Source organism: Homo sapiens, chromosome 1 (assembly GCF_000001405.40).
Source record: "Homo sapiens chromosome 1, GRCh38.p14 Primary Assembly".
Taxonomy (NCBI): Eukaryota; Metazoa; Chordata; class Mammalia; order Primates; family Hominidae; genus Homo; species Homo sapiens.
In genome coordinates this window covers 45,791,988-45,819,560 of record NC_000001.11, presented here as the reverse complement: position 1 = coordinate 45,819,560, position 27,573 = coordinate 45,791,988, and the positions used below count along the sequence as shown (strand labels likewise).

The 27,573-nt window shown below is 43.7% G+C and overlaps 1 protein-coding gene across 23 annotated transcripts in view, besides 1 other annotated feature; it reads right to left on the bottom strand.

Moving 5' to 3' along the window:
• Positions 1–15,949, bottom strand: part of MAST2 (microtubule associated serine/threonine kinase 2) — a 232,511-nt gene extending 216,562 nt beyond the window's left edge. For 15 of the 23 annotated variants that reach the window (XM_011541059.3, XM_011541069.3, XM_011541061.3 and 12 more), the window contains exon 1: positions 15,489–15,949. In XM_011541059.3, coding sequence (XP_011539361.1) covers positions 15,489–15,665 — 177 coding nt within the window. In that variant the 5' untranslated portion in view covers positions 15,666–15,949. Of the gene's footprint in view, positions 1–6,533; positions 6,614–6,971; positions 7,113–15,488 lie in introns of those variants that run through there. The other 8 variants (XM_047450105.1, XM_047450121.1, XM_047450123.1 and 5 more) reach the window with 4 other exon arrangements.
• Positions 15,682–16,121: a silencer, noted in NCBI's record as "silent region_835". NCBI's record gives its function as "represses an Ori minimal core promoter by ATAC-STARR-seq in GM12878 lymphoblastoid cells {active_cell/tissue: GM12878}" and the evidence as "EXISTENCE:reporter gene assay evidence [ECO:0000049][PMID:35858748]".

Below are 27,573 nucleotides of genomic sequence, written 5' to 3'. Positions count from 1 at the left end.
TTGGCATACAGAAACACTACTGATCTCTGTGTGTTGACTTTGGATCCTGCAACTTTACTAAATTTATCAGTTCTAATAGTTTTTTGGTGAAGTCTTTAAGCTTTTGCCAAATATAAGATCAAATCATCTGCAAACAAGGATAATTTGACTTCTTTTCCAATTTGGATACCCTTTATTTCTTTTTCTTGTCTAATTACCATAGTTAAGACTTCCAGTACTACTAGGTTGGTACAAACGTAATTGCGGTGGTTTGCATGATTAGAATTTGTCATCTGATATTGGAATACATTCTTTTTTTTTTTTTTTTTGAGACAGACTTTGCTCTTGTTGCCCAGTCTGGAGTGCAATGGCATGATCTCGGCTCACTGCAACCTCTGCCTCCTGGGTTCAAGCGATTCTCCTGCCTCAGCCTCCCAAGTAGCTGGGATTACAGGTGTGTGCCACCATGCCTGGCTAAGTTTGTATTTTTAGTAGAGACAAGGTTTCACCATGTTGGTCAGGCTGGTCTCGAACTCCTGAACTCTGGTGATCCACCCACCTCAGCCTCCCAAAGTGCTGGGATTACAGGCATGAGCCACTATGCCCGGTCTTGGAATACATTCTTAAATAAATGTCATTATATTATACATCATTTTAATGTTCATTTTTTATGTTTTTTGGCTAGAGACTTATTTACTTGCTGTTTATGTTTTAGACTATGGGAATGAAGTTAGATAAAAAGCAAATATGAGCAATTTTTGAATAAGTTCAAAATGGGTCGTAAAGCAAAGGAGACAACTCACAACATCAACAATGCATTTGGAGAGGAACTGCTAACAACTGTACAGTGCAGTGGTGGTTCAAAAAGTTTTGCAAAGGAGGCAAGCCTTGAAGGTGAGGAGTGTAGTGGCCGACCATCGGAAGTTCACAACGACCAATTGTGAGCAATCATCTCTTAGAACTACACAAGAAGTTGCCGAAGAACTCAACATCGACCATCCTACAGTCATTCAGCATTTGAAGCAAATCGAAAAGGTGAAAAAGCTCGTTAAGTGGGTGCCTCATGAGCTGAGTGAAAATCAAATAATCATCATTTTGAAGTGTCATCTTCTCTTATTCTACAGAACAATGAACCACTTCTCGATCACACTGTGACATGCAAGGAAAAGTGGACTTTATATGACAACCTGTGACAACCAGCTCAGTGGCTGGACTGAGAAGAAGCTCCAAAGCACTTCCCAAAGCCAAACTTGCATCAAATAAAGGTCACGGTCACTGTTTGGTGGTCTGCTGTCAGTCTGATCCACTACAGCTTTCTGAACCCCAGTGAAAGCATAACATCTGAGAAGTATGCTCAGCAATCTTAATGAGATGCACCAAAAACTGCAACGCCTGACACCAGCATTGGTCAACAAAAAGGACCCAATTCTCCACAACAACACCCAACTGCACATCACACAACCAAGCTTCAACAAGTGAACGAATTGGGCTATGAAGTTTTCCCTCCCGCCATATTCACCTAACCTCTCACCAACCAACTACCACTTCTTCAAGCATCTCGACAACGTTTTGCAGAGAAAACATTTCCATGACCAGCAGGATGCAGAACATTCTTTCCAAGAGTTCGTCAAATCCCAAAGCATGGATTTTTACACAACAAGAACAAACATTTCTCATTGGCGAAAATGTGTTGATTGTAATGGTTCCTATTTTGATTAATAAAGATGTGTTTGAGCCTAGTTATAATGATTTAAAATTCACAGTCCAAAACCACAATTACTTTTGCAACAACCTAATACCATACTATGTCTGGAAAAGTTGTTGTAGTTATTATTCTTGATCAATTCATCTTTTCATGATATGAGTCGTTTATACACCATAATTATTGTTATTAATATAGTATTCTGTGTTTTTCTGTGTACTTACTATTACCAGTCAGTTTTGTACCTTCAGATGATTTCTTATTGCTCATTAACATCCTTTTCTTTCAGATTGAAGAACTCCCTTTAGCATTTGTGTGGGACAGGTCTGGTGTTGATGAAATTACTCGACTTCTCTGTCTTATGAAGTCGTTATTTCTCCTTCATGTTTGAAGAATATTTTCACCAGATATACTATTCTAGGGTAGAAGTTTTTTCCTTCAGCACTTTAAATATGTCATGCCTCTCTCTCTTGGCCTGTAAGGGGTTTCCACTGAAAAGTCTGGTCCCAGACATATTGAAGCTCCATTGTATGTTATTTGTGTTTTTTCTCTTACTGCTTTTAGGATCCTTCATCTTTTACCTTTAGAAGTTTGATTATTAAATGCCTTGAGATAGTCTTCTTTGGGCTAAATCTGCTTGGCATTCTAGAACCTTATACTTGAATATAGAAATCTTTCTCTAAGTTTGGGAAGTTCTCTGTTGTTATTCATTTCGATAAACTTTCTACCCCTATCTCTCTACCTCCTCTTTAAGGCCAAAACGCTTAGATTTGCCTTTTGGAGGCTATTTTCTAGATCTTGTAGGCATGCTTTTTATTCCTTTTTATCTTTTTCTTCTTTTGTCTCCTCTGGCTGTGTATTTTCAAATAGCCTGTCTTCGAGCTCACTAATTCTTTCTTCTGGGGCCAGGCACTGTGGCTCACGCCTGTAATCCCAACACTTTGGGAAGCCGAGGCAGGTGGATCACGAGGTCAGGAGATCGAGACCATCCTGGTTGACACGGTGAAACCCCGTCTCTACTAAAAAACAAAAAAATTAGCCAGGTGTGGTGGCACACACCTGTAATCCCAGCTACTTGGGAGGCTGAGCCAGGAGAATCGCTTGAACCTGGGAGGCAGAGGTTGCAGGGAGCCATTACGCCACTGCACTACAGCCTGGGCAACAGAGCGAGACTCCATCTCAAAAAATAAATAAATAAATAAATTCTTTCTTCTGCTTAATCAGTTCTGCTATTAAAGGACTCTGATGCATTCCTTAGTATATCAACTGCATTTTTCAACTCCAAAATTTCAGCTTGGTTCTTTTTAATTATTTCCATTTCTTTGCTGAAGTTACCTTAGGGGATTCTGATTTCCTTATCTGTGTTATCCTGTATTTCTCTGAATTTCCTCAAAATGGGTATTTTGAATTCTCTGTCTGAAAGGTCATGTATCTCTATCTCTCCAGGATTGGTCCCTGGTGCCTTACGTAGTTTGTTTGGTGATGTCATGTTTTCCTGAATGGTCTTAACGCTTGTGGGTATTTGTCAGTGTCTGGGCATTGAAGAGTTAAATATACATTGTAGCCTTTGCGATCTGGGCTTGTTTGCATCTGTTATTCTTGGGAAGACTTTCCAGGTATTTGAAGGGACTTGGGTCTCTCTCTCTCTCTCTCTCTCTTTCTCTCTCTCTCTCCCCCCCACCCCCAATACCAAGCTGCCTTTCTTGGGGTTGCCAGAGACTACCTCTGCCACAGGCTGCAGAAAAGCTTTTCCAGATCTCCTATCTGTGCTTGGGAAAAAGGCCTTTACTTGCATTCAAAATTGTTATAACTCAAAACTCTGTGTGTCTACAAGGAAAAAGAGGAGGCTATGGTTCCAGGCTGTCTATAACCAAAATAAATGGATTTCTGTATGGTTCTAAGCTAAGGACTACATTGGGGTTTGAGTCCTGTGGCAGGGACTAGTTAGATGTTGATCAAGCATGATTCACCTTCCTCCTAGGCACAGGCCACATGACATTTCCCAGCCCTCCAGTAGTTAGGCATGGCCCTGAAACTGAGTTCTGGCAATGGAATATGAGTGGAAGTGATTAATCCATTTCTAGGATTGGCCCATCCTCCACTTTCCTCAGCTGAACTTGGAAGCCATGTGTAGAAAATGGAAGCACCTCAATCAAGGGGTCCTTGTGAATCAGTTACAGCAAGTAATGTTCTTTAATATAAAAGACCAAAGACTGAGCTAGTCACAAAGTATCACTTTCTCTTACTGGTTAAAGGTAGAACTTAAATGTTCCTGGGTCATTTAAACAAAAATCACCTTGGTAACACCCCTATGAAATAACTTAAGGACTTTAAAAAAAAACTATTAACAACTATTTCTAAATCCTCTGCTTTTCAAAACATTCCTGAAAGCCTAACAGATAGAAAGTCTGACCAGTCACGGTGGCTCACACCTGTAATCCCAGCACTTAGGGAGGCTGAGGAGGGTGGATCACCTGAGGTCAGGAGTTCAAGACTAGCCTGCCCAACATGGTGAAACCCCATCTCTACTAAAAACATAAAAATTAGCTGGGTGTGATGGCATGTGCCTGTAGTCCTAGCTACTCAGGAGGCTGAGACAGGAGAATCACTTGAACCTGGGAGGCAGAGGTTGCAGTGAACCGAGATCACGCCATTGCACTCCAGACTGGGAGACAGTTTCAAAAAAAAAAAAAAAGAAGATCTGACAAAACTATATTACTTCTGCTTTGCTGAAATAACGGCAAAGAAACGATGTAGCTTATTAATCTCCAACAAATTAATGGTTAAAGGATATATGCATCTACTACTCAGGTTCACTCTTAAGGAACCTACACTCAAGCTGGTACAACTAAGATGGTATCACCTAATTTTAACACATGGTTCCCTTGGGCTGAATTTTTCTTAATTACATTCTAAAACCTAGGGAGACTATTCTATCTTCTAAGCCAGTTACTTAATAAAAAAATCCATAAAAGTTTCCCTGAAGGGGAAAATGCACAAATTAAAGTCTCCTTTCAAGCTGAATAAAATAAAAGAACAGTTTAATAACACCAACAAATCAAAGGTCAAGATAGCTTTTTCTTTTTATTTTTGAGATAGAGTTTCGCTCTTGTCGCCCAGGCTGGAGTGCAATGGCGTGATCTTGGCTCACTGCAACCTCCAACTCCCGGGTTCAAGCAATTCTCCTGCCTCAGCCTCCCAAGTAGCTGGAACTATAGGCGTGCGCCACCACGCTGGGCTAATTTTTGTATTTTTAGTAGTGACGGGGTTTTGCCATGTTTGCCAGGCTGGTCTCAAACTCCTGACCTCAGGTGATACACCCGCCTTGGTGTATGTGTTTACATTATACAAAATATTTTCTTTCATTATCCTTATTATATAAGCTTTCTTCTATTAAAAAAATTTTCTTTTTTTACTTTTTAAACTGTTTTGTTAGAAAGTAAGATACAAACATACGCACTAGCCTAGGCCTACACAGGGTCGAGATCATCAATATCACTGTCTTCCACCTCCACATCTTGTTCCATGGGAAGGTATTCAGGGGCAATAATGGAGCAATAATGGAGGTGACATGGAGCTGTCATCTCCTATGGTAACAATGCCTTCCCTGGAATTACACTGAAGGACTTGTCTGAGGCTGTTTTACAGTTAACTTTTTTTTTTAATAAGTAGGGGTACACTCTAAAATAACAGTAGAAAGTATAGTATGGTAAATACATAAGCAAGTAACATAGTTGTATATTATCATCATTAGGTATTATGTGCTGTGCATGCACTAACTCTATGTGCTGTACCTTTATACCACAGCAGTGCAGTAGGTTTTACACAGGCATTACCATGAACATGTAATGTGTTGCACTACAATGTTGTAATAGCTAGATGTCACTAGGCAATAGAAATTTTTCAACTCTGTTATAATCTTATGGGAAGCCAGGCATAATAGTTCATGCTTATAATCCCAACATTTTGGAAGGCCAAGGCAGAAGGATTGCTTGAGGCCAAGAGCTCAAGACCAGCCTGGGCAACATAGCAAGACTTCATCTCTATTTAAAAAAAAATTTTAATAAAAAAATTATAATCTGGCCAGGCGCAGTGGTTCATGCCTATAATCCCAGTACTTTGGGAGGCCGAGGTGGGCGGCTCACCTGACGTCAGAAGTTCGAGACCAGCCTGGCCAACATGGTGAAACACTGTCTCTACTAAAAATATAAAAATTAGCCAGGTGTGGTGGCAGAAGCCTGTAATCCCAGCTACTCGGGAGGCTGAGGCAGAAGAATTGTTTGAATCCGGAAGGCAGAGGTTGCAGTGAGCCAAGATCGTGCCACTGCACTCCAGACTGGGGGACAAGAGCAAAACTTCGTCTCAAAAAAAAAAAAAAAAAAATTGGCCAGGCGTGGTGGCGGCTGCCTGTAATCCTAGTTACTTGGGAGGCTGAGGCAGGAGAATTGCTTGAACCCAGGAGGCAGAGGTTCCAGTGAGCTGAGATCGCACCACTGCACTCCAGCCTGAGCAACAGAGCAAGACTCGGTCTCAAAAAAAAAATGATAATAATAATAATAATCTTATGGGACCCCCATCTTGTATGTCATCCATCATTGACTAAAACATAATTATGCGGAACATGACTGTATGCAGAGAAAAAGAAAATGAATAGTTCCATCTATACTGAACATGTATAGATATTTTTTTCTTGTCACTATTCCCTAAGTAATAGAGTGTAACAGTTATTTACATAGCATTTACATTGTATTATATATTATAAATAATCTGGAGATGATTTAAAGTACATGGGAGGATATACATAGGTTACATGCAAATACTATGCCATTTTATAGATAGAACTTGAGCATACCAGAGTTTGGTATCTGCAGGGGGTCATGTACTCAATCCCCGAGAGATATTGAGGGACAACTGTAGCAGCAAACAGACCTGAGGGGCTGAATGTGGAATACAGGTAAGGTTAAGAAAAAAATCAAACACAACCTCCAGTTTTGTTCTGGTAAATGAGTAGTGCCATCTATTGACATGAGGCAGACTGGGGAAGAAGCAGACTAGAAAGTGAAAATCAAGACTTCATTTTTGGACATGTTAAGTTTGAGAGGTCTCTGAGCTATCCAAATGAAAATGTTACACGGACTATTAAAAATAGGAGTAGGGCCAGGCACAGTGGCCGATGCTTGTAATCCCAGCACTTTGGGAGGCCGAGGTGGACGGATCACCTGAGGTCGAGAGTTTGAGACAGCCTGACCAACATGGAGAAACCTAGTCTCTACTAAAAATACAAAATTACCCAGGCGTGGTGGCACATGCCTGTAATCCCAGCTACTGGGAGGCTGAGGCAGGAGAATCACTTGAACCTGGGAGGCGGAGGTTGCAGTGAGCCAAGATGGTACCACTGTACTCCAGCCCGGGCAACAGTGCGAGACTCCGTCTAAAAAAAAAAAAAAAAAAAAAGGCTTACAGATTGATCTTTAGGCCAAGAGACATCCAGAACAATGATGGGAAAACTCTGTAATCACATGTGTCCTACCCTCATCAGGGAACATTTGCCAACCTGCTTCAAGCCACCATAGACTCTCTGCTCCCAGTACTTTTGATGAAACTAAATATTTCAAAGTTAACACCTTTTTAGGAGCTAGCCCTTACCCATACCCTGGATAAGAGGGAAAGGAGGTCAAATAAACTTTTGCACTGAAAACTCGGAAGATTTCTCAAATGCTCATGTCTCAAACAGCATGTCCTGCATCCTATCCTCCACACAGTTGCCAGAGTAATCCAACTAAAACACAAATAAGAATATACTGCTCCTGTGCCGCGCGCGGTGGCTCACACCTGTAATTCCAGCATTTTGGGAGGCCAAGGCGGGCAGATCACCTGAGGTCAGGAGGTCCAGACCAGCCTGGCCAACATGGTGAAACCCCATCTTTACTAAAAATACAAAAATTAGGCCAGGCGCAGTGGCTCACGCCTGTAATCCTAGCACTTTGGGAGGCCGAGACAGGCGGATCACGAGGTCAGGAGATCAAGACCATCCTGGCTAACACAGTGAAACCCCGTCTCTACTAAAAATACAAAAAAATTAGCTGGGCGTGGTGGCGGGCGCCTGTAGTCCCAGCTATTCGGGAGGCTGAGGCAGGAGAACGGCGGGAACCCGGGAGGCAGAGCTTGCAGTGAGCCAAGATCAGGCCACTGCACTCCAGCCTGGGTGACAAAGTGAGACTCTGTGTCAAAAAAAAAAAAAAGCCGGGTGCGGTGGCTCACGCCTATAATCCCAGCACTTTGGGAGGCCAAGGAGGGCAGATCACGAGGTCAGGAGATCGAGACCATCCTGACTAACATAGTGAAACCCCGTCTCTACTAAAAATACAAAAAAATTAGCCGAGCGTGGTGGTGGGCGCCTGTAGTCCCAGCTACTCCAGAGGCTGAGGCAAGAGAATGGCGCGAACCCGGGAGGCGGAGCTTGCAGTGAGCCGAGATCGCGCCACTGCACTCGAGTCTGGGCGACAGAGCGTGACTCCGTCTCAAAAAAAAAAAAAAAAAATACAAAAATACAAAAATTAGCTGGGCGTGGTGGCATCCCAGGTACTCGAGAGGCTGAGGCAGGAGAATTGCTTGAACCCCACAGGGGGAGGCTGCAGTGAGCCGAGATCGTGCCATCGCACTCCAGCCTGGGAGACAAGAGCGAGACTTCGTCTCAAAAAAAAAAAAAAAAAGAAATATACTGCTCTCGGCTAGGCACGGTGGCCCACGCCTGTAATCCCAACACTTTGAGAGGCCGAGCCAGGTGGATCACTTGAGGTCGGGAGTTTGAGACCAGCCTGACCAACATGGAAAAACTCCGTCTCTACTAAAATACAAAATTAGCCAGGCATGGTGGCCAATGCCTGTAATCCCAGCTACTTGGGAGGCTGAGGCAGGAGAATAGCTTGAACCTGGGAGGTGGAAGTTGCGGTGAGCTGAGATCGTGCCACTGCACTCCAGCCTGGGCCACAGAGCAAGACTGCCTCAAAAAAAAAAAAAAAGAATATACTGCTCCCCTACTTATTATCCTTTTTTTTTTTTTTTTTTTGAGATGGAGTCTCGCTCTGTCGCCCAGGATGGAGTACCGTGGCGCGATCTTGGCTCACCGCAACCTCCACCTCCCGGGTTCAAGCAATTCTCCTGCCTCAGCCTCCCAAGTAGCTGGGATTACAGGCGCCCACCAAGACGCCTGGCTATTTTTGTATTTTTAGTAGAGATGGGGTTTCATCATGTTGGCCAGGCTGGTCTCAAACTCCTAACCTTAGGTGATCCACCCACCTTGGTCTCCCAAAGTGCTGGGATTACAGGCGTGAGCCACCACACCCAGCCAATTATCCTTTTATATCACACTAAAGACCCTCAACAATCAAGGCTTCTTTAATCTCTAACCTAGCATTTACACCTTCAACGTAAAGCTCTGGGTCTGGCAATAACAAACCGATTATAGTTCCCTATATATATTACGCAGCTTCCCTTCTGTGTGCTTTCTGCCCTATGCTTTTCCCAATGTACTAACCCTGTAATGCAGAGGAAAGAGGTTCTGATTTCCATTAAAATAATTTTTTAAAATTTCTGTCACACTGAGGGTATTTTAGGAACTAAAGTTGAACTCATCTTCTGCCATCCTCAAAAATATTCTATTTCCTTTGTCTACTCCTATCATATAACCATTATTACTCAAATTACCAAAATTCAAAATATTTGAATCATTCTCCATTCATTCATTCAATAAATAATGACTGAGCACCTATTGTGAGCAAAGCCTTTAGCTCTGCATTGTTAGACAAAATGATGACATAGTTCTTACCTTCAATAACATGCAACTTAAAAGCAAAAATGAAATACAAATGAACACAGAAAGTTGAAAGTGCTAAAACACTGATTCATCCTTTCATTCAGCAAATATTTATTCAGCATCTACTTTATATGACCAGGAATGGATCAAACAATATGTTACAGAAACAAAATGAGATAAGACTACTTATTAAGCACCTACTTATTATGTGCTTTCCAGTCATTTTTGCATTTGATCTCTTGGAACCTAAGCTTTCACTTTTAAACCACAGAATTTTGAGAACTGGAATTTCAGGACATTCACAGATTTCCTGAAGCCCAATTAAGGATCCTCCTAGGATCCCATGTGGAAAAACAACTTTGCAGAAGAGTTTCTTTTTGGGTGTGTGGTTTTGTTTTTGTTTTTTGTTTGTTTGTTTTTTGCTTTCTTTACGAGACACGGTCTCATTCTGTCACCCAGACTGGAGTGCAGTGGTACAACCTTGGCTCACTGCAGCCTCAACTTCCAGGGGTCCCACCTCAGCCTCCCAAGTAGCTGGGCCCACAGGCGCGCACCACCAACCCCGACTAATTTTTGTATTTTTTGTAGAGATGGGGTTTCACCATGTTGCTCAGTCTGGTCTCAAACTCCTGAGCTCAAGCAACCCGCCTGCTCAACCTCCCAAAGTGCTGGGATTACAAGTATGAGCCACCACACCTGGCCTCACAGAAGTTTCTGTGGCATTTGAGTTAGGCCTGGAAAACTGAGTAGAATTTTAATATGCGGAAGCAGAGAATAAAGAGCTTCTCAAACTGATGACTAATTAAAGTATATCAAAGTGCCTAACAATAAACAATTACTTACTGAATGTCTATTACATACCAGTTAAAATACTAGAGGCTGAAGATACCATGATGATTAAGACAGCCTCAGAGGAATTCATTTGACTGACTTACAATCAATTAGGACATTGAGCAAATATCTATGTTTCTAATAAATACACAAATAACTATGTTTCAAGTACTATACTAAGCCCTAGGTATACAGAAGTAAATGGAACAGTCTGACTCTCAAAGAACTTACTAATGAGAGAAACAAGATAATTTTAATATTGTATGCCATGATCGAGAAAAGCAGACGGTCCTAAGGAACCAAGAGAAGTGGCAACTAACTGACTCTTCTAACAAAAAGTGCTAAGTATCAAGTAGATCTTGAATGCCAAGGTCTTCAGGCTTAATTCTATGGGTAATAAGAAGCTAATGAAGGTATATGAATAAGGAGAAATGAAATGAACATTTAACGAGTATTTATAAAGCACTTACCATTAGCCAGGGAGGCAATGAGTTCCAATCTTTTGTTAATAGAACGTGAAATATATTAGAGGTTAAGAGACTGAAGACTGAGTAAATACAGTTAAGATACTGCAACAACCAAGACTAAAGTTTATAAATATGAAATTAAGGTAGTGACAATGGGAATAATGGTTTGAAAGATTTCATGAAGGCAGAATCGAGAGAACCTAATGCCAGACTGGCTAAGGGAGTCAAAGGAGAAGAAGTAAAAGACTACAGATGTGGGCCAGGCACGGTGGCTCACGCCTGTAATCCTAATACTTTGGGAGGCCAAGGCGGGTGGATTGCCTGAGCTCAGGAGTTCGAGACCAGCCTGGGCAACACAGTGAAACCCCATCTCTACTAAATACAAAAAATTAGCCAGGCATGCGCTACTCAGGAGGCTGAGACAGGAGAAACGCTTGAACCTGGGAGGCAGAGGTTACAATAAGCCGAGATCGCGCCACTGCACTCCAGCCTGGGCGACAGAGCAAGACTCCATCTCAAAATAAAACAAACAAAAAAAGCCATGGATATAATTTCATGTTGGATGACAAAAAGGAAAGATACAGAGAGAAGCACATTTCAACACAGAAATTATTCTATTTTCATGATACAGTAAACCACTGACCTTCTGGAGATCCAAGTCCTACATCCTGATTAGAACGTATTCTTAAATACTAGTATAATAAAAACTGTAACAAGCACTGTTCCATGTCATGAGAAAGGGAAAAAAAAGTTACGTGTGAGATGTAGATGCTTGCTGATCAGCTGGGCTCTTACTACCCAAATAAATAGAATTCAACCAGTCTCGACACATACAATGAAAATTTTGGCCTTTTTAAAATCATAAATTATTACAAATTATGAACTTTCAAGGTCACTATCAAATTATAAAACTCACAAATGTTAGGCCGGGCACAGTGGCTCACACCTGTAATCCCAGCACTTTGGGAGGCCGAGGTGGGTGGATCACCTGAGGTCAGGAGTTCGAGATCAGCCTGGCCAACATGGTGAAACCCCGTCTCTACTAAAAATACAAAAATTAGCCAGGCGTGGTGGCGGACGCCTGCAATCCCAGCTACTGGGGAGGCTGAAGCTGGAGAATCACTTGAGCCTGGGAGGCGAAGGTTGCAGTGAGCTGAGGTCCCACCACTGCACTCCAGCCTGGGCAACAAAGTGAGACCCTGTCTCAAAAAAAAAAAAAAATCACAAATGTTAAGAACACAAATGATGAGTCTACGGTGGAAATGTTAAGCACAAAAATGGAAATGTAGAGCTAAGGAAAGAGGTCACACCTAAAGAGACTCAGCTCACTTTACAAGGATGTTCTGTGACACAATGCCATAAATAAAGAGGACTGCAGACCCTTGTTCTACATCCTCAACATCTACAAACAGAATGAGCCTGCTAAATAGAGCACAATAAAGGATCAAGCTAAGGACAGAGGACATGTCCTCAAGGAACATTTCAGGAACAGGAAGAGAAAACACAAGACAAAGACACACAAGAGAGCAGTTAGAGAAGCAGTAACAGAATGGATATTATAATATTAAAAAAGAAAAAAATGTCAACAAGGAACACACAGTCAACAGTGACAAATAGTTCACAGAGGTCAGACAAGATGAGGAAAAGACTATCAGATTTAGTAATTTAAAGGTTCCCAGGACTTTTACATATTTCTCTCTGTAACTATTTCACAATGAAAACTTTTCACAAGTAGCCATGAATTATATTTCAATTTGAAAAACAAACTGGGCACTCATGCCCATAATCCCAGCACTTTGGGAGGTCAAGGTGGGAGAATCACTTGAGCCCAGGAGTTCGAGGCTAGCCTGAGCAACATGGTAAGATACCACCTCTACAAAAAATAAAAAATTAGGCCGTGGTAGTTCACGCCTGTAATCCCAGCACTTTGGGAGGCCAAGGCGGGCAGATCATCTGAGGTTAGGAGCTCGTGACTAGCCTGGCCAACATGGTGAAACCCCATCTCCACTAAAAATAGAGAATTAGCCAGGCATGGTGGTGCATGCCTGTAATCCCAGCTACTCGGGAGGCTGAGGCAAGAGAATCGCTTGAATCCGGGAGGCAGAGGTTGCAGTGAGCTGAGAATGTGCCGCTGCACTCCAGCCTGGGCGAGAGAGCAAGACTCTGTCTCAAAAAGAAAAAGAAAAAGAAATTAAAAAATTAGCTGGGCATGGTGGTATGTGCCTATGGTCCCAGCTACTTGGGAGGCTGAGGCAGGAGGATCACTTGAGCCTGGGAGTTCAAGGCTGCCGTGAGCTATGACGGCACCACTACACTCCAGCGTGGGTGACAGAGTGAGATCCTGTCTCAAAAACAAAAATAAGTTTTAGTAACCATCACAATACATTCATACAATGGAAAATTACACAGCAATGAAAAAGAACTGTTTCTACAAGCAACAACATGGATGAGTCTCAAGACATGATCCGAATGAAAGAATCTGGTCACAAAACAGTACACACTATGATTCCATTTATATGAAGTATTAGTTCAAAACAAATCTATAGTGACAGAGGTGGTGAGGGAGGTTACATCTGTAAAAGAGTAGTGCTAGGAGAAAGCACAGGGAGCATTCTAGGGTACTGGGAATGTTCTCCATCCTGATGTGAGTTGTGATCATACAGGTACTCATTCTGTAATATTTCATGGACTGAATGAACCTTTGATTTGTCAAACCTCAATAAAAAAGTAATCCCACACAAAAAAAGCTTTCGGTGACCTTAAAGACATCAGTTTTGGGAAAGCATAAGTGAAGAAGCCAAACCATATTAGAAATGTATACAAGGTGAGGAAGCTAAGACACTGAATACAAACTCATTTTTCAAGAAGGTTGTTGGGGAAGCAAAGAAGAGATAACAAAGTAGTTTGGGTAGGTTACACAATTCAGGGAAATTATGTTGTTTTGTTTTTATTTGTGATATAAAACAAAGAGAGTAACAAGGGTCTAAGGCAAACAAAAGAGGATGAAATCAAGGACATAAGTAGAGAAATTAGCCTCGGAGAGGAGGATGAGTACTTTTCTCTGAGACTGAAGCTAAGGATGAGAAAACACAAAAATCATAAAATAAAGAGGAGGGAAAAATCAAGTAATCTTGAACTCTACCATGAAATACGCAGTAAGGTCAACTGGACAGGTAAACTGAGACAGGAAAGGACCTGGACTTGAAGTTCATTGTACAAGTTTTGACTAGATGATACTGCAGAGAATGTAAAAGATAAGTATTAGGCACATGGGGGAGTAAATTGCAGCAAGAGGACAATGCTCAGCAGCTAGAAGCGGGGCAGAGATGGTCAATGGTGCAGTCTCCTCAGGGCTCAGTGGGGAATAAGAGGTGGAAGAACAAAAGGGGGGAAAAGTCCAAGGGCTACCTAGCATGGTATATAATTTTTAAACTGTCTAAAGGGCCGGGCACACTGGCTCATGCCTGTAATCCCGATTACCTGAGGTCAGAGTTCCAGACCAGCCTGGCCAACATGGTGAAACCCTGTCTCTGCTAAAAATACAAAAAAATTAGCTGGACATGGTGGTAGGCACCTGTAATCCCAGCTAGCCGGGAGGCTGAGGCAGGAGAATCGCTGAACCCAGGAGGTGGAGGTTGCAGTGAGCCGAAATAATGCCACTGCACTCTCCCCTGGGCGACAGAGCGAGACTTCGTCTCAAAAAAAAAAAAAAATGTCTAAGGAAAATGCTAATTTATCTGAGAGAAAAGAGGTAAGAGACCTATAAGAAGTCTTAAAACATTCATGGATGAAGTCAGTAGGATCCCGAATAGAGCTGAACAAAAGGAAAGCTGTCACTAGAGTTCATTACTACAGAACATTTTTCTGTAAATCCAACAAGACCAAGGATTACTTATTCTCCTTTCACTAAACTTATTACCGCTACTAGTGGCAGCTTCTCCTGCCTGATAAAACTGACCTTTATCCCCTACTCATAAATACACCTACTCTTGACTAATAAATTACATAAACATATCCTGTTCATTCAGAAACTCCATGAATATTTGTATGCTGCTGTGTTTTCCCAGTAATGTGTTTTCAGTGGAAAACTAGCAGGCAAACCATATATCTACGAATTCTGTTCACAAAATTGGGCTTAACACTGCTCACATGCAGGTGTTTCACAAGTGCTTTCTTGTGAAATAGATGGTTGGTAAAGAGAGCCTTAACAATGATTGTGAACACACTGGTACAAAAGTATAATGATGGCCAAATCAGAGAATGCTTGGGAGTGTCATCCGTTTTTACAATTTTAAGGACAACCTCTAGAAAACAGGATAACACTACATCAAATTGACTTACATCTTACTCTATTTACTCCTATGGATAACTCCTCAACGCCTCTTTAGTAAGCCTACTCGTTGCAGCTCACACACTCAGCCCACATTCCAGCGTCCTTTCGCCCCATCCAGAACCCCTGACTATCTCTTGCACCAATTTTTCATTCTTCTACACCCCCATTTCCAATACAACCCCAGGCCACCACTTCCATTTCTCCACTCCCCATTTCTCGGCCTCCCCAGACCTCCCACTCCTCCCCGCGAACTACTCAGACCCCACCCCTCCAAAGCTCCAGCCCGGGTCCTCCCGCCGAAGATCCCCTCCCCCACGGCTTCCATTCAGGTTCACCCTCCCGGATCCCAACCCGCCCTACCTGCTCCTTGCCCTCGGGCCCCGCGGGGCCCGTCCGCTCCTCCAGCCGCTGCCTCCCGGGCGGCGCTCGCCGGCGCGGCGGCAAAGACTGAGACAGCTCCGCTGCCCGCTGAACTCCATCCTCCCGGCGGTCGGGCGGCGGCGGCTGCGGTCGGTCGCGGCAGCGGCTCCGCTTCATATCTGCAGCTGGGGCCCGCGGGCGTCAGCGCCGCGACTGTCCCGGCTCCGCACTGCCCCGGGCCGCAGCGCAGCCGCGCCAACCACCACCCGCGGCCACCATGGCCGGACGGGCTCCCTAAGCCACCGACCCCAGCCCGCGGCGCCTTCGAGCCTTCTGGGGCCTCCGGCGCCGCGACCTCCTCTGCGCTCCTCACGGAAGAGACAGCATCGCTGACGCCTCGCCTTCTCCCACCCAGCACACGTTGGGCAGGCCACCCGCCGCCGGCTCAGCCGCCTGCCTACAGCCAGCCTTCGGCCGGCCCCGCCCCTCACGCGCGCGCACCGGGAGCCCGCCCGCCACCTCCGGCCGCGCGCCGCCTCCCGCGCACGCGCCAGCGAACGGTCGCAAAGGACCCGCCCGTGGCCCTGGCGCGCAGTCGGAGGACCAGAAGCGAGCGGGGCTCTCGGCGCGCCGTCAGCGGCTGCGGACTCCCATTGAATCTTTCATTCATCCATTCATGAAACTGCTGGGCCAAGCTCAGTGCTGGGGACCCAAAAATGAGTTCGAGTCGATCGGTGTCCTCAAAGAACTAGGGAGAGAGGGGCCGGGAGCAGGAAGGAGACAGAATAACACAACTAATGAATAGAAGGCTAATGCATGCTTTTTTATTTAGTGCCTGCCAACTCTCACCTAATTCTCACATCACACTTAGGAGGCAAATCTGCGCATTCTCATATTACAGATAAAGAGACTGAGGCGAAGTGAAATGCACCAGGTCACCCAGCAAATCAGTGATCAAACTAGACGGAATTCTGGCTCTTCTGTCCCTTTCCACCGTGTTTGCTCTTTCCGGACAGTAAGACAGTGTGGAAACGCCTATAAAAGTGGAAAAAGTGATGGATTCCTTCTGGGAGGAGGAGAGGACAAAAAAGGCATACAATGAAGTCATCGTGTAGAGCCCAGCCCAGTCTGCTGTGGCCTGGGTAGCCTGACCTGCTGCCTGCAGTGACTCATCTGCTCAGCAACATGTGGTGGTAGCTCAGCTCTGGCCTCCCTCTGGCTTCAGCTGGTCTGCCACATGTTGTGTTTTTCCTCTTTTGACCTAGAAGCCTTGCTTAAAGCCTTCACCCATTTGTCCTGGGCCTCTTCCCTGACCCCTTTCTGAGTAATAAAAATAGCCAACACTATGGAGTGCCCACTGCATACCACACACTGTGCATTCAATTCAGACATACACAAACAAGAAGTAAGTTGTATTTCCATTTTACAGTTGAGGAAATAGGCTCAAATTACATAATATGCTCAACATCACACAGCTTATAAGTCCAGAGCCAGGACTCAAACCCAGGTCTGCCAGATCCGGACAGAAAGACAGTGCGGAAACACCTATAAAAGTGGAAAAAGTGATGGATTCCTTCTGGGAGGCCGGGAGGATGCACATAACCAATGTGCTCTACGGCCTGTCACCAGCCTGCTCCTCTATTCCCTGTCCCAGTTCCTTACCACCCATCCAGTTGCCTCAACCAGAAACCTGGAAATCATCCTGGACTCCTTCCTTGTCCTTTCCTCACATCCAATAAATGAACAAGTCTTATTGCCTCTATAACCTCACTATTTCTCCAATCTGCCTCCTCTTTCCGTCCCATTGGCACCACCTCAAGTTTCATCTTCCCTCACCTACTTGACTGAGAAAGCCTTCAACGGGTTCACTTATGCCAGTCTCATTGTCTTTAAACTCATCCTTCAAAAAGCCCTCACAAGACTCTTCCTATATGTTACTTGCTTGCTTAAAACAATTAAATGGACCGGGTGCAGTGGCTCACGCCTATAATCCCAGCACTTTGGGAGGCCAAGGCGGGCAGATCATGAATTCAGGAGATCGAGACCATCCTGGCTAACACAGTGAAACCCCGTCTCTACTAAAAATACAAAAAAATTAGCCAGGCGTGGTGGTGGGTGCCTGTAGTCCCAGCTACTCAGGAGGCTGAGAACTGCATGAACCTGGGAGACAGAGCTTGCAGTGAGCCAAGATCGTGCCACCGCACTCCAGCCTGGGTGACAGAGCAAGACTCCGTCTCAAAAAAAAAAAAAAAAAAAAAAAACAGTTAAATGAGGCCGGGCACGGTGGCTCACTCCTGTAATCCCAGCACTTTGGGAGGCCAAGGCAGGTGGATAACGAGGTCAGGAGATCAAGACCATCCTGGCCAACACGGTGAAACCCTGTCTCTGCTAAAAATACAAAAAATTAGCTGGGCGTGATGGCGGGCGCCTGTAGTCCCAGCTACTCGGGAGGCTGAGGCAGGAGAATGGCGTGAACCCGGGAGGCGGAGCTGGCAGTGAGCCAAGATCGCACCACTGAACTCCAGCCTGGGCGACAGAGCGAGATTCCATCTCAAAAAAAAAAGCAATTAAATGAATCTCAAGATGAAGTGTAAACTTACTATGGCTGGCAAGGCCATCCAAATCTGGCCTCTACCTCCCTCTCCTTCTCCCATTAATCCATGTGGTGACAACTAATTATAATTATTCCAGCTACATGTACAGGGTCTGTCACATCCTTAGTTACAAATAACAAACAACTCTGACTATCTTAAGCCTAAGGGGTAATTTCTTAGAAGGCTACATAGAATGGATCACAGAGCTGAACAGAGATAGGAGAAAAAGGCTTACGTAGCTGGCAGGAAACAAGGAGCCCCCACAGACTGAACCTTAGGGACAATCTCAGGACACTGCTGTCACAACCACCAGGCAATGAGCTGCGCTGCTACTGTGCACCCCTGCAAAGTAATTCTAACCCTCTCTTCATAGTTGTATCATCATTACAGATCAACAGTCTCTGGCAGGAGAACCCACTGACTCAGCCTTGGTAACTTAAGGACCAGAACCCATTCTACCTTCTCACCTTCCATACTGGTACTGCGAGAGTTATTGGGCAGATAGACTCTAAGCTAGTCCTCCTGCTCTACCTGCTTCCCAGTATTTTACACGTTTATGTAATCCCTTCCCATGAATGGAGATGAGGACTGTGACTTGTTTCCAACCAATAGAATACAAAAAAAGTAACAGGATATCATTTCCTTGATTATGTTACATTATATAAGACTCTATCTTGCTAGAAGACTCACTCTTGCACTCCTAATGGCCTTGACAAAGCAAGCTGTCATTCTCTGAACTGCCTATGGAGAGGTCCATGTGGCAGTAAACTCCAGGCAACCTCTAGGACAGCCTCCGGCCCAACAGCACCAAAACAAAACAAAAAACTCTGTAGGTCCAATCCTACAAGCAGGAGGAAATGAGTTCTCCTAACAGTGAGACTGAGCTTGGAAACAGGCCCTTCTCCAGTTGAGCACCCAGATGGGAACACAGCCCACACAACTTGGTGGAAGCCTGATGAGACCCTGAAGCAAAGAACCGAGCTAACACAAATCTAGACAGAAACTGTGAGATAATAAATGCATGTTATGTTAAGCTTCTAAGCTTGTGGTAATTATATATTTGTATTACATGTTAATACAAAACTAATACAGCCAGATACTTTCTCAGCCTCCCATCAGCCAGAAATGGCAATGTGACACAATGTGGCCCACATCCACTTTTTTTTTCTTTTTTTTTTTTTGTGATGGAGTCTTACTCTGTCACCCAGGCTGGAAGTGCAATGGCTCAATCTCCACTTACCACAACCTCCGCCTCCCAGGTTCAAGTGATTCTCCTGCTTCAGCCTCCAAGTAGCTAAGATTACTGGCGCATGCCACTGCACCCGCCTAATTTTTGTATTTTTAGTAGAGACGGGTTTCTCCATGTTGGCCAGGCTGGTCTTGAACTCCTGACTTCAGGTGATCTGCCCACCTCGGCCTCCTAACGTGCTGGGATTACAGGCGTGAGCCACCACGCCCGGCCCCACATCCACTTTTATACTTGTCTTCACCAGCTCAATAAGTGACAAGTCAATTTTTTTTTTCAGTTGCTCAGGCCAAAACCTCGGAGTGATCCCTGAGTTCTCTCTTTCTCACATACTTCATATCCACTCCACTGGCAAATCCTGTGCAAATTAGTAGGATATTATAATTAGCTGAGGGAGAGGTGTTAGTGACTAGTACTGAGACAATGATAACGGGGACGGACGAACACAGGTGGACTTTAGAGAGATCCAGAAAGTAGAAACCACAGGACCTGTTAACTGCATCAAAGGTGCAGAGAGAAAGAAAAAGCCCTAAGAATGATTTCCAAGTTTCTGGCTTGGACAACTGAGGTAGGGAACAGAAGAGGGAAAAAAAGTGTGAAACAGATTATGGTCAATTCCATTTTAGATGTGTTTGCTCTGAAGTGCCAGTGAGATATCCAAGTGAAGATGTCTAGTAAGCTACTGGTTACACCAGTGTAGAGCTCAGAACTGAGGGCCACCCATAGTTAGATGTTTAACCGATATGAACAATACCATACTCTTAGAATATAAATGTGATCACATTACTTTTCCTTATTCTAGTTAGGCCCCTTATGTCATATTATTAGGAAGCCTAGTATCTCCTCCTTAATTATCTAAGAACTCCAAAATTGTTTTATATTCTAAAAGTTAAGTATGGGCTGGGCACCGTGGCTCACACCTGTAATCCAGAACTTTAGGAGGCCAAGGTGGGATGATCACTTGAGCCCAAGATTTTTTTTAAAATTATTATTATTATTATACTTTAAGTTTTAGGGTACATGTGCACAATGTGCAGGTTAGTTACATATGTATACATGTGCCATGCTGGTGTGCTGCACCCATTAACTCGTCATTTAGCATTAGGTATATCTCCTAATGCTATCCCTTCCCCCTCCCCCCTGAGCTCAAGATTTTTGAGACCAGCCTAGGTGACATGGCAAAACCCCATCTCTACAAAAAATACAAAAACTAGCTGGGCATGGTGGCACATGCCTGTAGTCCCAGCTACTCAGGAGGCTGAAGTGGGAGGATCACTTGAGCGTGGGAGATGGAGGTTGTAGTCAGCCAAGATCACACAACTGCACTCCAGCTTGGGTGACAGAATGCGACCCTGTCTCAAAAAAAAAAAGGTAAGTATAGCAGTTATCTATTGTCATATAACAAACTGTCTCAAAACTTGTGGCTTAAAACAACAACCATTTATTTAGCTGACATTTTTGTGAGCCAACTGGGCAGTTCTTATGGTCTGGTCCAGTTTATCTAATCACTGCTAGGCTTGCTTATGCATCTGCAGTCGGCTGAGGGCTGGCTGGCTGGTGGCTAAGTCATCTAAAATGGCTTCTGTCACACATATGGCAATTGGCAGGCCATTGGCCATGGCAGTGGGAATGACTAACCCATATAGCTCTCACCATCCTTCAGGCTTACTTGGACTTCTTCACATGACAGCAGTGGTAGGGGGTCCTGTGAGGAGGAAGAGACAGCGAGCCGCAATGTGAAAGCACTTTTCAAATCTCTGTTGATGCCACATTAGCAACTGTGTCATTGCCAAAGCAAGTCAGTGTGGCCAGGGACTAAAGTTACATGGCAAGGGGGAATAGATTCAGGGAGGGGAAGAACTTGTGGCTGTCTTTGAAATCTACTTCAGGAAGATCAGTCCAACTTCCATAGCCAAATTCAGCTATAATTAGATCAGTCCATTGGCATCTTTGCTCCCTGGGACCATATTATGGACTGAATGTTTGTGTCTCCCCCAGATTTGTACGTCAAAGTCCTAACACCTAGTGTGGCTGTATTTGGAGATGAGGCCTCTAAGGAAGTAATTAAACTTAAATGAGGTTTTAAGGGTAGGGCCCTAATCCTATGAGATTAATGTCCTTATAAGCGGAGACACCAGAGCACTCACCCTCTCTCGAGGCACATGTACTGAGGAGGGCCATGTGAGAACATAGTGAGAAGACAGCTGTCTATGGGCCAGGAAGAGTGCCCCCACCAGAATCCAAATTGGCTAGAACCTTGATTTTGGATGTTCAGCCTCTAGAACTGTGAAAAAAATAAATTTCTGTTGTTTAAGCCACCTAATCTGTGTTCTTTTGTTATGGTAGCCCAAGCAGACTAACACAAACCACATAACATTACTTTCAAGAAAGGTCCTTCTGATTCAACAGAGATTTTTTTGAAGGAGGACAATTTCCCTCAGTACTAAGCTCAGTCAAGGATGCCCAGGCCAGAGTTCCCATAATTGAAGCTTAGTCCTTCACTTTTTCATGTCCCATGCAAAGCACAGTCATCTCCCAGGGAAACAAGCAGCCCCAGCACAAATTCTCCCAAGAAGTCCACTTCCTAGGGACTTTCTGCTCTTCCTGTTAAACACTCAATACAGAAGGGGAGGCCAGGTGCAGTGGCTCACGCCTGTAATCCCAGCACTTTGGGAGGCAGAGGCTGGTGGATCACGAGGTCAGGAGATTGAGACTATCCTGGCCAACATGGTAAAACCCCGTCTGTACTAAAAATACAAAAATTAGCTGGGCAAGATGGCCCATGCTTGTAATTCCAGCTACTCGGGAGGCTGAGGCAGGAGAATCACTTGAACCCGGGAGGCGGAGGTTGTGTTAAGCCAAGATCACGCCATTGCCCTCCAGCCTGGCAACAGAGTGAGACTTTGTCTCAAAAAAAAAAAAAAAAAAGAAGGGGTAATTATGCTCCTTTTTCTTAGGCAATGATTACTTGCTAATCCTCTTAAAGGAGATTACCCTAGCGGGCTGGGGAATCTACACATACCCTCCAGGAGAAGGCTGCTTTCAGTGATTCTAACACTCCCTGCTCTTCTAAGACTCCCTAGGTAGTTCAAAAGGGCCCATATTACTCTTCGAAGAGTCAGCTTTGCGCTGGGCACAGAGGCTCACGCCTGTAATCCCAGTACTTAGGGAGGCCGAGGTGAGCAGATCACCTGAGGTCAGCCTGGCCAACATGGCGAAACCCCGTCTCTACTAAAAATACAAAAACTAGCCGGCTGGGCGTGGTGGCAGCCACCTGTAATCCCAACTACTCAGCAGGCTGAGGCAGGAGAATCGCTTGAACCTGGGAGGCGGAGGTTGCAGTGAGCTGAGATTATGCCATTGCACTCCAGCCTGGGCGACAGAACAAGACTCTGTCTCAAAAAAAAAAAAAAAAAAAGAGCCAGCTTCAGTGATTTCTGTATTATTACAGAAATAATGAAAAAAACAGATAGTTGTCCCCCAGTATCTATTCTCCCCTTCTTCTTATTGTTGGACACATGGACACCGAGAATAAAGACAAATTTCTTTGCCTTCTTTGTGACTAAATATAGTCATGTGACTAAGCTGTGGCCAGTGACATGTGAGCATAAGTGATGAGCGCAGCTTCTAAATTATGCTCTTAAAAAGAAACACATCTTCCCTTTCTTCTTTTGGCCCTTCTTTCATCCTGTTTCTTAGAAAGTATCATGGCAGAAATTGATCTTGGACCACAGGAATGGGAAAAACATCCTAGGGATGACAATGCAACAGTAAAGAAAGTTCCTAGATGAACTGACAGAGCAGAACTGCCATACTTGCCTTCTGTACTATATGTGAGAGAGAAATACACTCCTATCTCGTTGAAGTCAGTTACTTTGGGTATCCGTAACAAGTAGCCAAACTTTTCTTTCTTTCTTTTTTTTTTTTTTTTGAGACAGTCTCACTCTGTCACCCAGGCTGGAGTGCAGTGGTGCCATCTCGGCTAACTAACCTCCGCATTCCAGGTTTAAGTGATTTTTGTGCCTCAGCCTCCTGAGTAGCTGGGATTACAGACATGCACCACCGTGCCTAGCTGTTTTTTGTATTTTTAGTAGAGACAGGGTTTCACCATGTTGGCCAGGCTGGTGTCCAACTCCTGACCTCAAGTGATCTGCCCGCCTTGGCCTCCCAAAGTACTGGGATTACAGGAATGAGCCACCATGCCTGGCCATGAGTAACCAAATTTCTATCTTAATGATTTACTATGATGATTCTGATTCCTCTTTTGCTAGAGAAGCTAGTGGGTCACAACTTTTTTTTTATTTACTTATTTTAATTTTTTAAAAACTTTGTTTTGTAGAGACAAGGGTCTCACTGTGTTGCTCAGGCTGGTCTCAAACTCCTGGCCTCAAGCAATTCACCCACCTCAGCCTCCCAAAGTGCTGAGATAACAGCCATGAGCCGCCATGCCGTGACTTTAAAAAAATTTTTTTAGGCCGGGCGTGGTGGCTCATGCCTGTAATCCCAGCACTTTTGGAGGCCAAGGCGGGCAGATCACCTGAGGTCAGGAGTTTGAGACTAGCCTGGCAAACTTGATGAAACCCTGTCTCTACTAAAAATACAAAAATTAGCCAGGCATGGTGGTAGACGCCTGTAATCCCTGCTACTCGGGAGGCTGAGGCACAAGGATCACTTGAACTTGGGAGGTGGAGGTTGAAGTGAGCAGAGATCATGCCTCTGCGCTCTAGCCTGGGTGACAAAGCGAGGCTCTGTCTCAAAACAAACAAAAAAAATTATTTATTTATTTATTTATTTTTTGAGACAGAGTCTCACTCTGTCACCCAGGCTGGAGTGTAGTGGTGCAATCTCGGCTCACTGCAACCTCCACCTCAAGTGATCCTCCTGCCTCAGCCTCCCAAGTAGCTGCGAGTAGTACAGGTGCCCGCCACCACGCCAGGCTAATTTTTGTATTTTTAGTAGAGACGGGGTTTCACCATGTTGGTCAGGCTGTTCTCGAACTTCTGACCTCGTGATCTGCCCACCTTGGCCTCCCAAAGTGTTGGGATTACAAGCATGAGCCACTGTGCCCAGCCAAAAAAAAAATTTTTAAGATGAAGTCTCACTCTGTCATGCTGGAGTACAGTAGCATGGACATAACTCACTGTATCCTGGAACTCCTGGGCTCAAGAGATCCTCTACCTCAGCCTCCTGAGGAGCTGGAACCACAGGCTTGAGCCACCACACTCATGTAATTTTTTAAATTATTTTTATTATTATAATATTTTTGTTTAGACAGACTGGAACTCATTCCAACTAAAATAATTGGATTCCCCACTCCTACTTTTGTCTTCTCCAATCTATGCTTCATCCAGCACTGGTTTCTAAGAAATATAAGTCAAGAGGCTTTGTTTAATGTACAAAGCTAAGCACGTGTTTTTACAACTTCCCTTCCAAAAGTCCCATGGAATTTGTACCAAAAATAAATAAAATAAATCCAGTCTGTGATAAATTCCTAAAAGACTAAAAGCAGACAAATACAATATCTAATCCCATACAATTATTAAAAAAAGAAGACACATTTTTTTTACAGAGATAGGATCATAATGATGGATAAACTAGAGTTGAAAAAGCCACAGTCCAGAACAGCAGTCCCCAAACTTTTTGGTACCAGGGACTGGTTTCGTAGAAGAAAATTTTTCCGGGGGGTGGGGGTGGTTTCAGGATGAAACTGTTCCACCTCAGTTCATCAGGCATTTGTTAGATTCTTACAAGGCAGGCACAACCTAGACCTGTTGCATGCCCAGTTCACAATAGGGTTTGTGCTCTTATGAAAATCTAATGCCGCTGATCTAACAGGAGGTGGAGCTCAGACAGTAATGCTCATGTGCCTGCCACTCACCTTCTGCCATGCAGCCTGGTTCCTAACGGGCTGCAGACCGGTACCAAGTGGTCCAGGGGTTAGGGACCCCTGGTCCAGATTATGCACAGAAAAGGCTAAAATGGGAGTGGAAATAGACTTCCTGGGAGAGAGAATTTCTAAATTGAAGTTAGCACGAACAGAGAACATCTGAGAAGGGAAACAAAGATCAAAATAATAAATCGGAGCAGTCTTTGGAACAGCTGCACTACTTGACATCCTTCTCTCTAACCATAGACAGCCACAAACTCCCCTGATACTTCTAAATATATCCTGAGAATAAATGGAAGAATCACCCTAGGAGATTTGGTGCCCTAAGGCTCCTTATTTTGGTATTTGGGTGGGGGAAATTTTATTAACTAATTCCTTCCCCATTATAATTATTTATTTTCCTTTGAAAACAAGCCCAAACATCAAACTTATCAGTTACACTTTTGGAAATTTAGTTGTTCAGAAACTTCATCTTCCATGTACTCTTCTTGAAAAAAAAATTCATTACAAGTGTGTATTCCAGCAAAAAATATAAATAAATCTTTTAAAAAAAAAGGTTGATATGGGGAGAAACAATTGACCTAATATAAAAATACAATGAAAAGAAATATCAAGATTTAGCTACACAACAAGCCTAAAGTGTAATTGTTCCAAATTAGAATAAAAAGTCAAAAGTTGGACCGGGCGCGGTGGCTTACGCCTGTAATCCCAGCACTTTGGGAGGCCAAGGCATGAGGATAACAAGGTCAGGAGATCGAGACCATCCTGGCTAATATGGTAAAACCCCGTCTCTACTAAAAATACAAAAAATTAGCCAGGCGTGGTGGCACGCACCTGTAGTCCCAGCTACTCGGAAGGCTGAGGCAGGAGAATTGCTTGAACCCAGGAGGCAGAGGTTGCAGTGAGCTGACATCGCGCCACTGCACTCCAGCCTGGTGACAGAGCAAAACTCCGTCTCAAAATAAATAAATAAATAAGTCAAAAGTTAAAATGGGTCCTAGCCAGAGAAATTAGTCAAGAAAAGAAATAAAGGATCTCTAAACTGGAAAGGAAGTAGTCAAATTGTTCCTGTTTGCAAATGACATGATCTTACATGTGGAAAACCCTAAAATCTCTACCAAAACACTCCTAAAATTCATAAACAAATTCAGTAACATTGCAGAATACAAAATCAACATACAAAAATTTAGTAACATTTCTATACACAAACAACAAACAAATATAAAAAGCAATCTCATTTAACATAGCTACAAAAAAGTAAAATACCTAGGAATAAGTTTAACCAGAGAAGTGAAAGATCTCTACAAGGAAAACCATAGGACACTGATGAAAGAAATTGAAGAGGAGGTTGGGTGCAGTGGTTCACGCCTGTAATCCTAGCACTTTGGGTGGCCAAGGCGGGAGGATAACTTGAGGTCAGGAATTTGAGACCAGCCTGGCCAACATGGTGAAATCTTGTCTCTACTAAAAATACAGAAGTTAGCCAGGCATGGTAGTACGTGCCTGTAGTCTCAGCTAATTGGGAGGCTAAGGCACAAGAATTGCTTGAACCTGGGAGTGGGGGACTGCAGTGAGCCATGATCGCACCACTACACTCCATCCTGGGCAACAGAGCAAGACTCTGTCTTAAAAAAATAAAAGAAGAGAAGAGGAGAGGGGAGGGGAGGGGAGGGGAGACAAGACAAGACAAGAGAAAAGAAAAGAAGAGAAAAAAGAAAAGAAAAGAAAGAAGTTGGAGAGGACACACAAAAAAATGGAAAGACATCTCACATCTCATGTTCATGGATTGGAAGAACCAGTAACATAAAAATGATCATACAACCAATAATGTCAAAATGATCATACTACCAAAAGCTGTCTATAGATTCAATGCAATCCCTATCAAAATACCAGTGACATTCTTCTCAGAATGTTTCACAGAAAAAAATCCTAAAATTCATATGGAACTACAGAAAACTCCTAATAGCCAAAGCAATCCTGAGCAAAAAGAACAAAGTGGGATGCATCACACTACCTGACTTCAAAATATACTACAAGGCTATAGTAACTAAAACAGCATAGTACTGACCTAAAAATGGATATATACACCTATGGAATGGAATAGAGAACGCGAAATAAATCCATGTATTTACAGCCAACTGATTTTTGACTAAGGCACCAAGAACATTCATTGGAGGAAGTAAAGTCTCTTCAATAAATGTACTAGGAAAACTGGATATCTGTATGCTGTAGAATGAAACCAGACCTTTATCTCTCACAATATACAAAAATCAACTCAAAATGGACTAAAGACTTAAATGTAAGACCTGAAACTATGAAACTACTAAAAGAAAGTATAAAAGAAACACTCCAAAACAT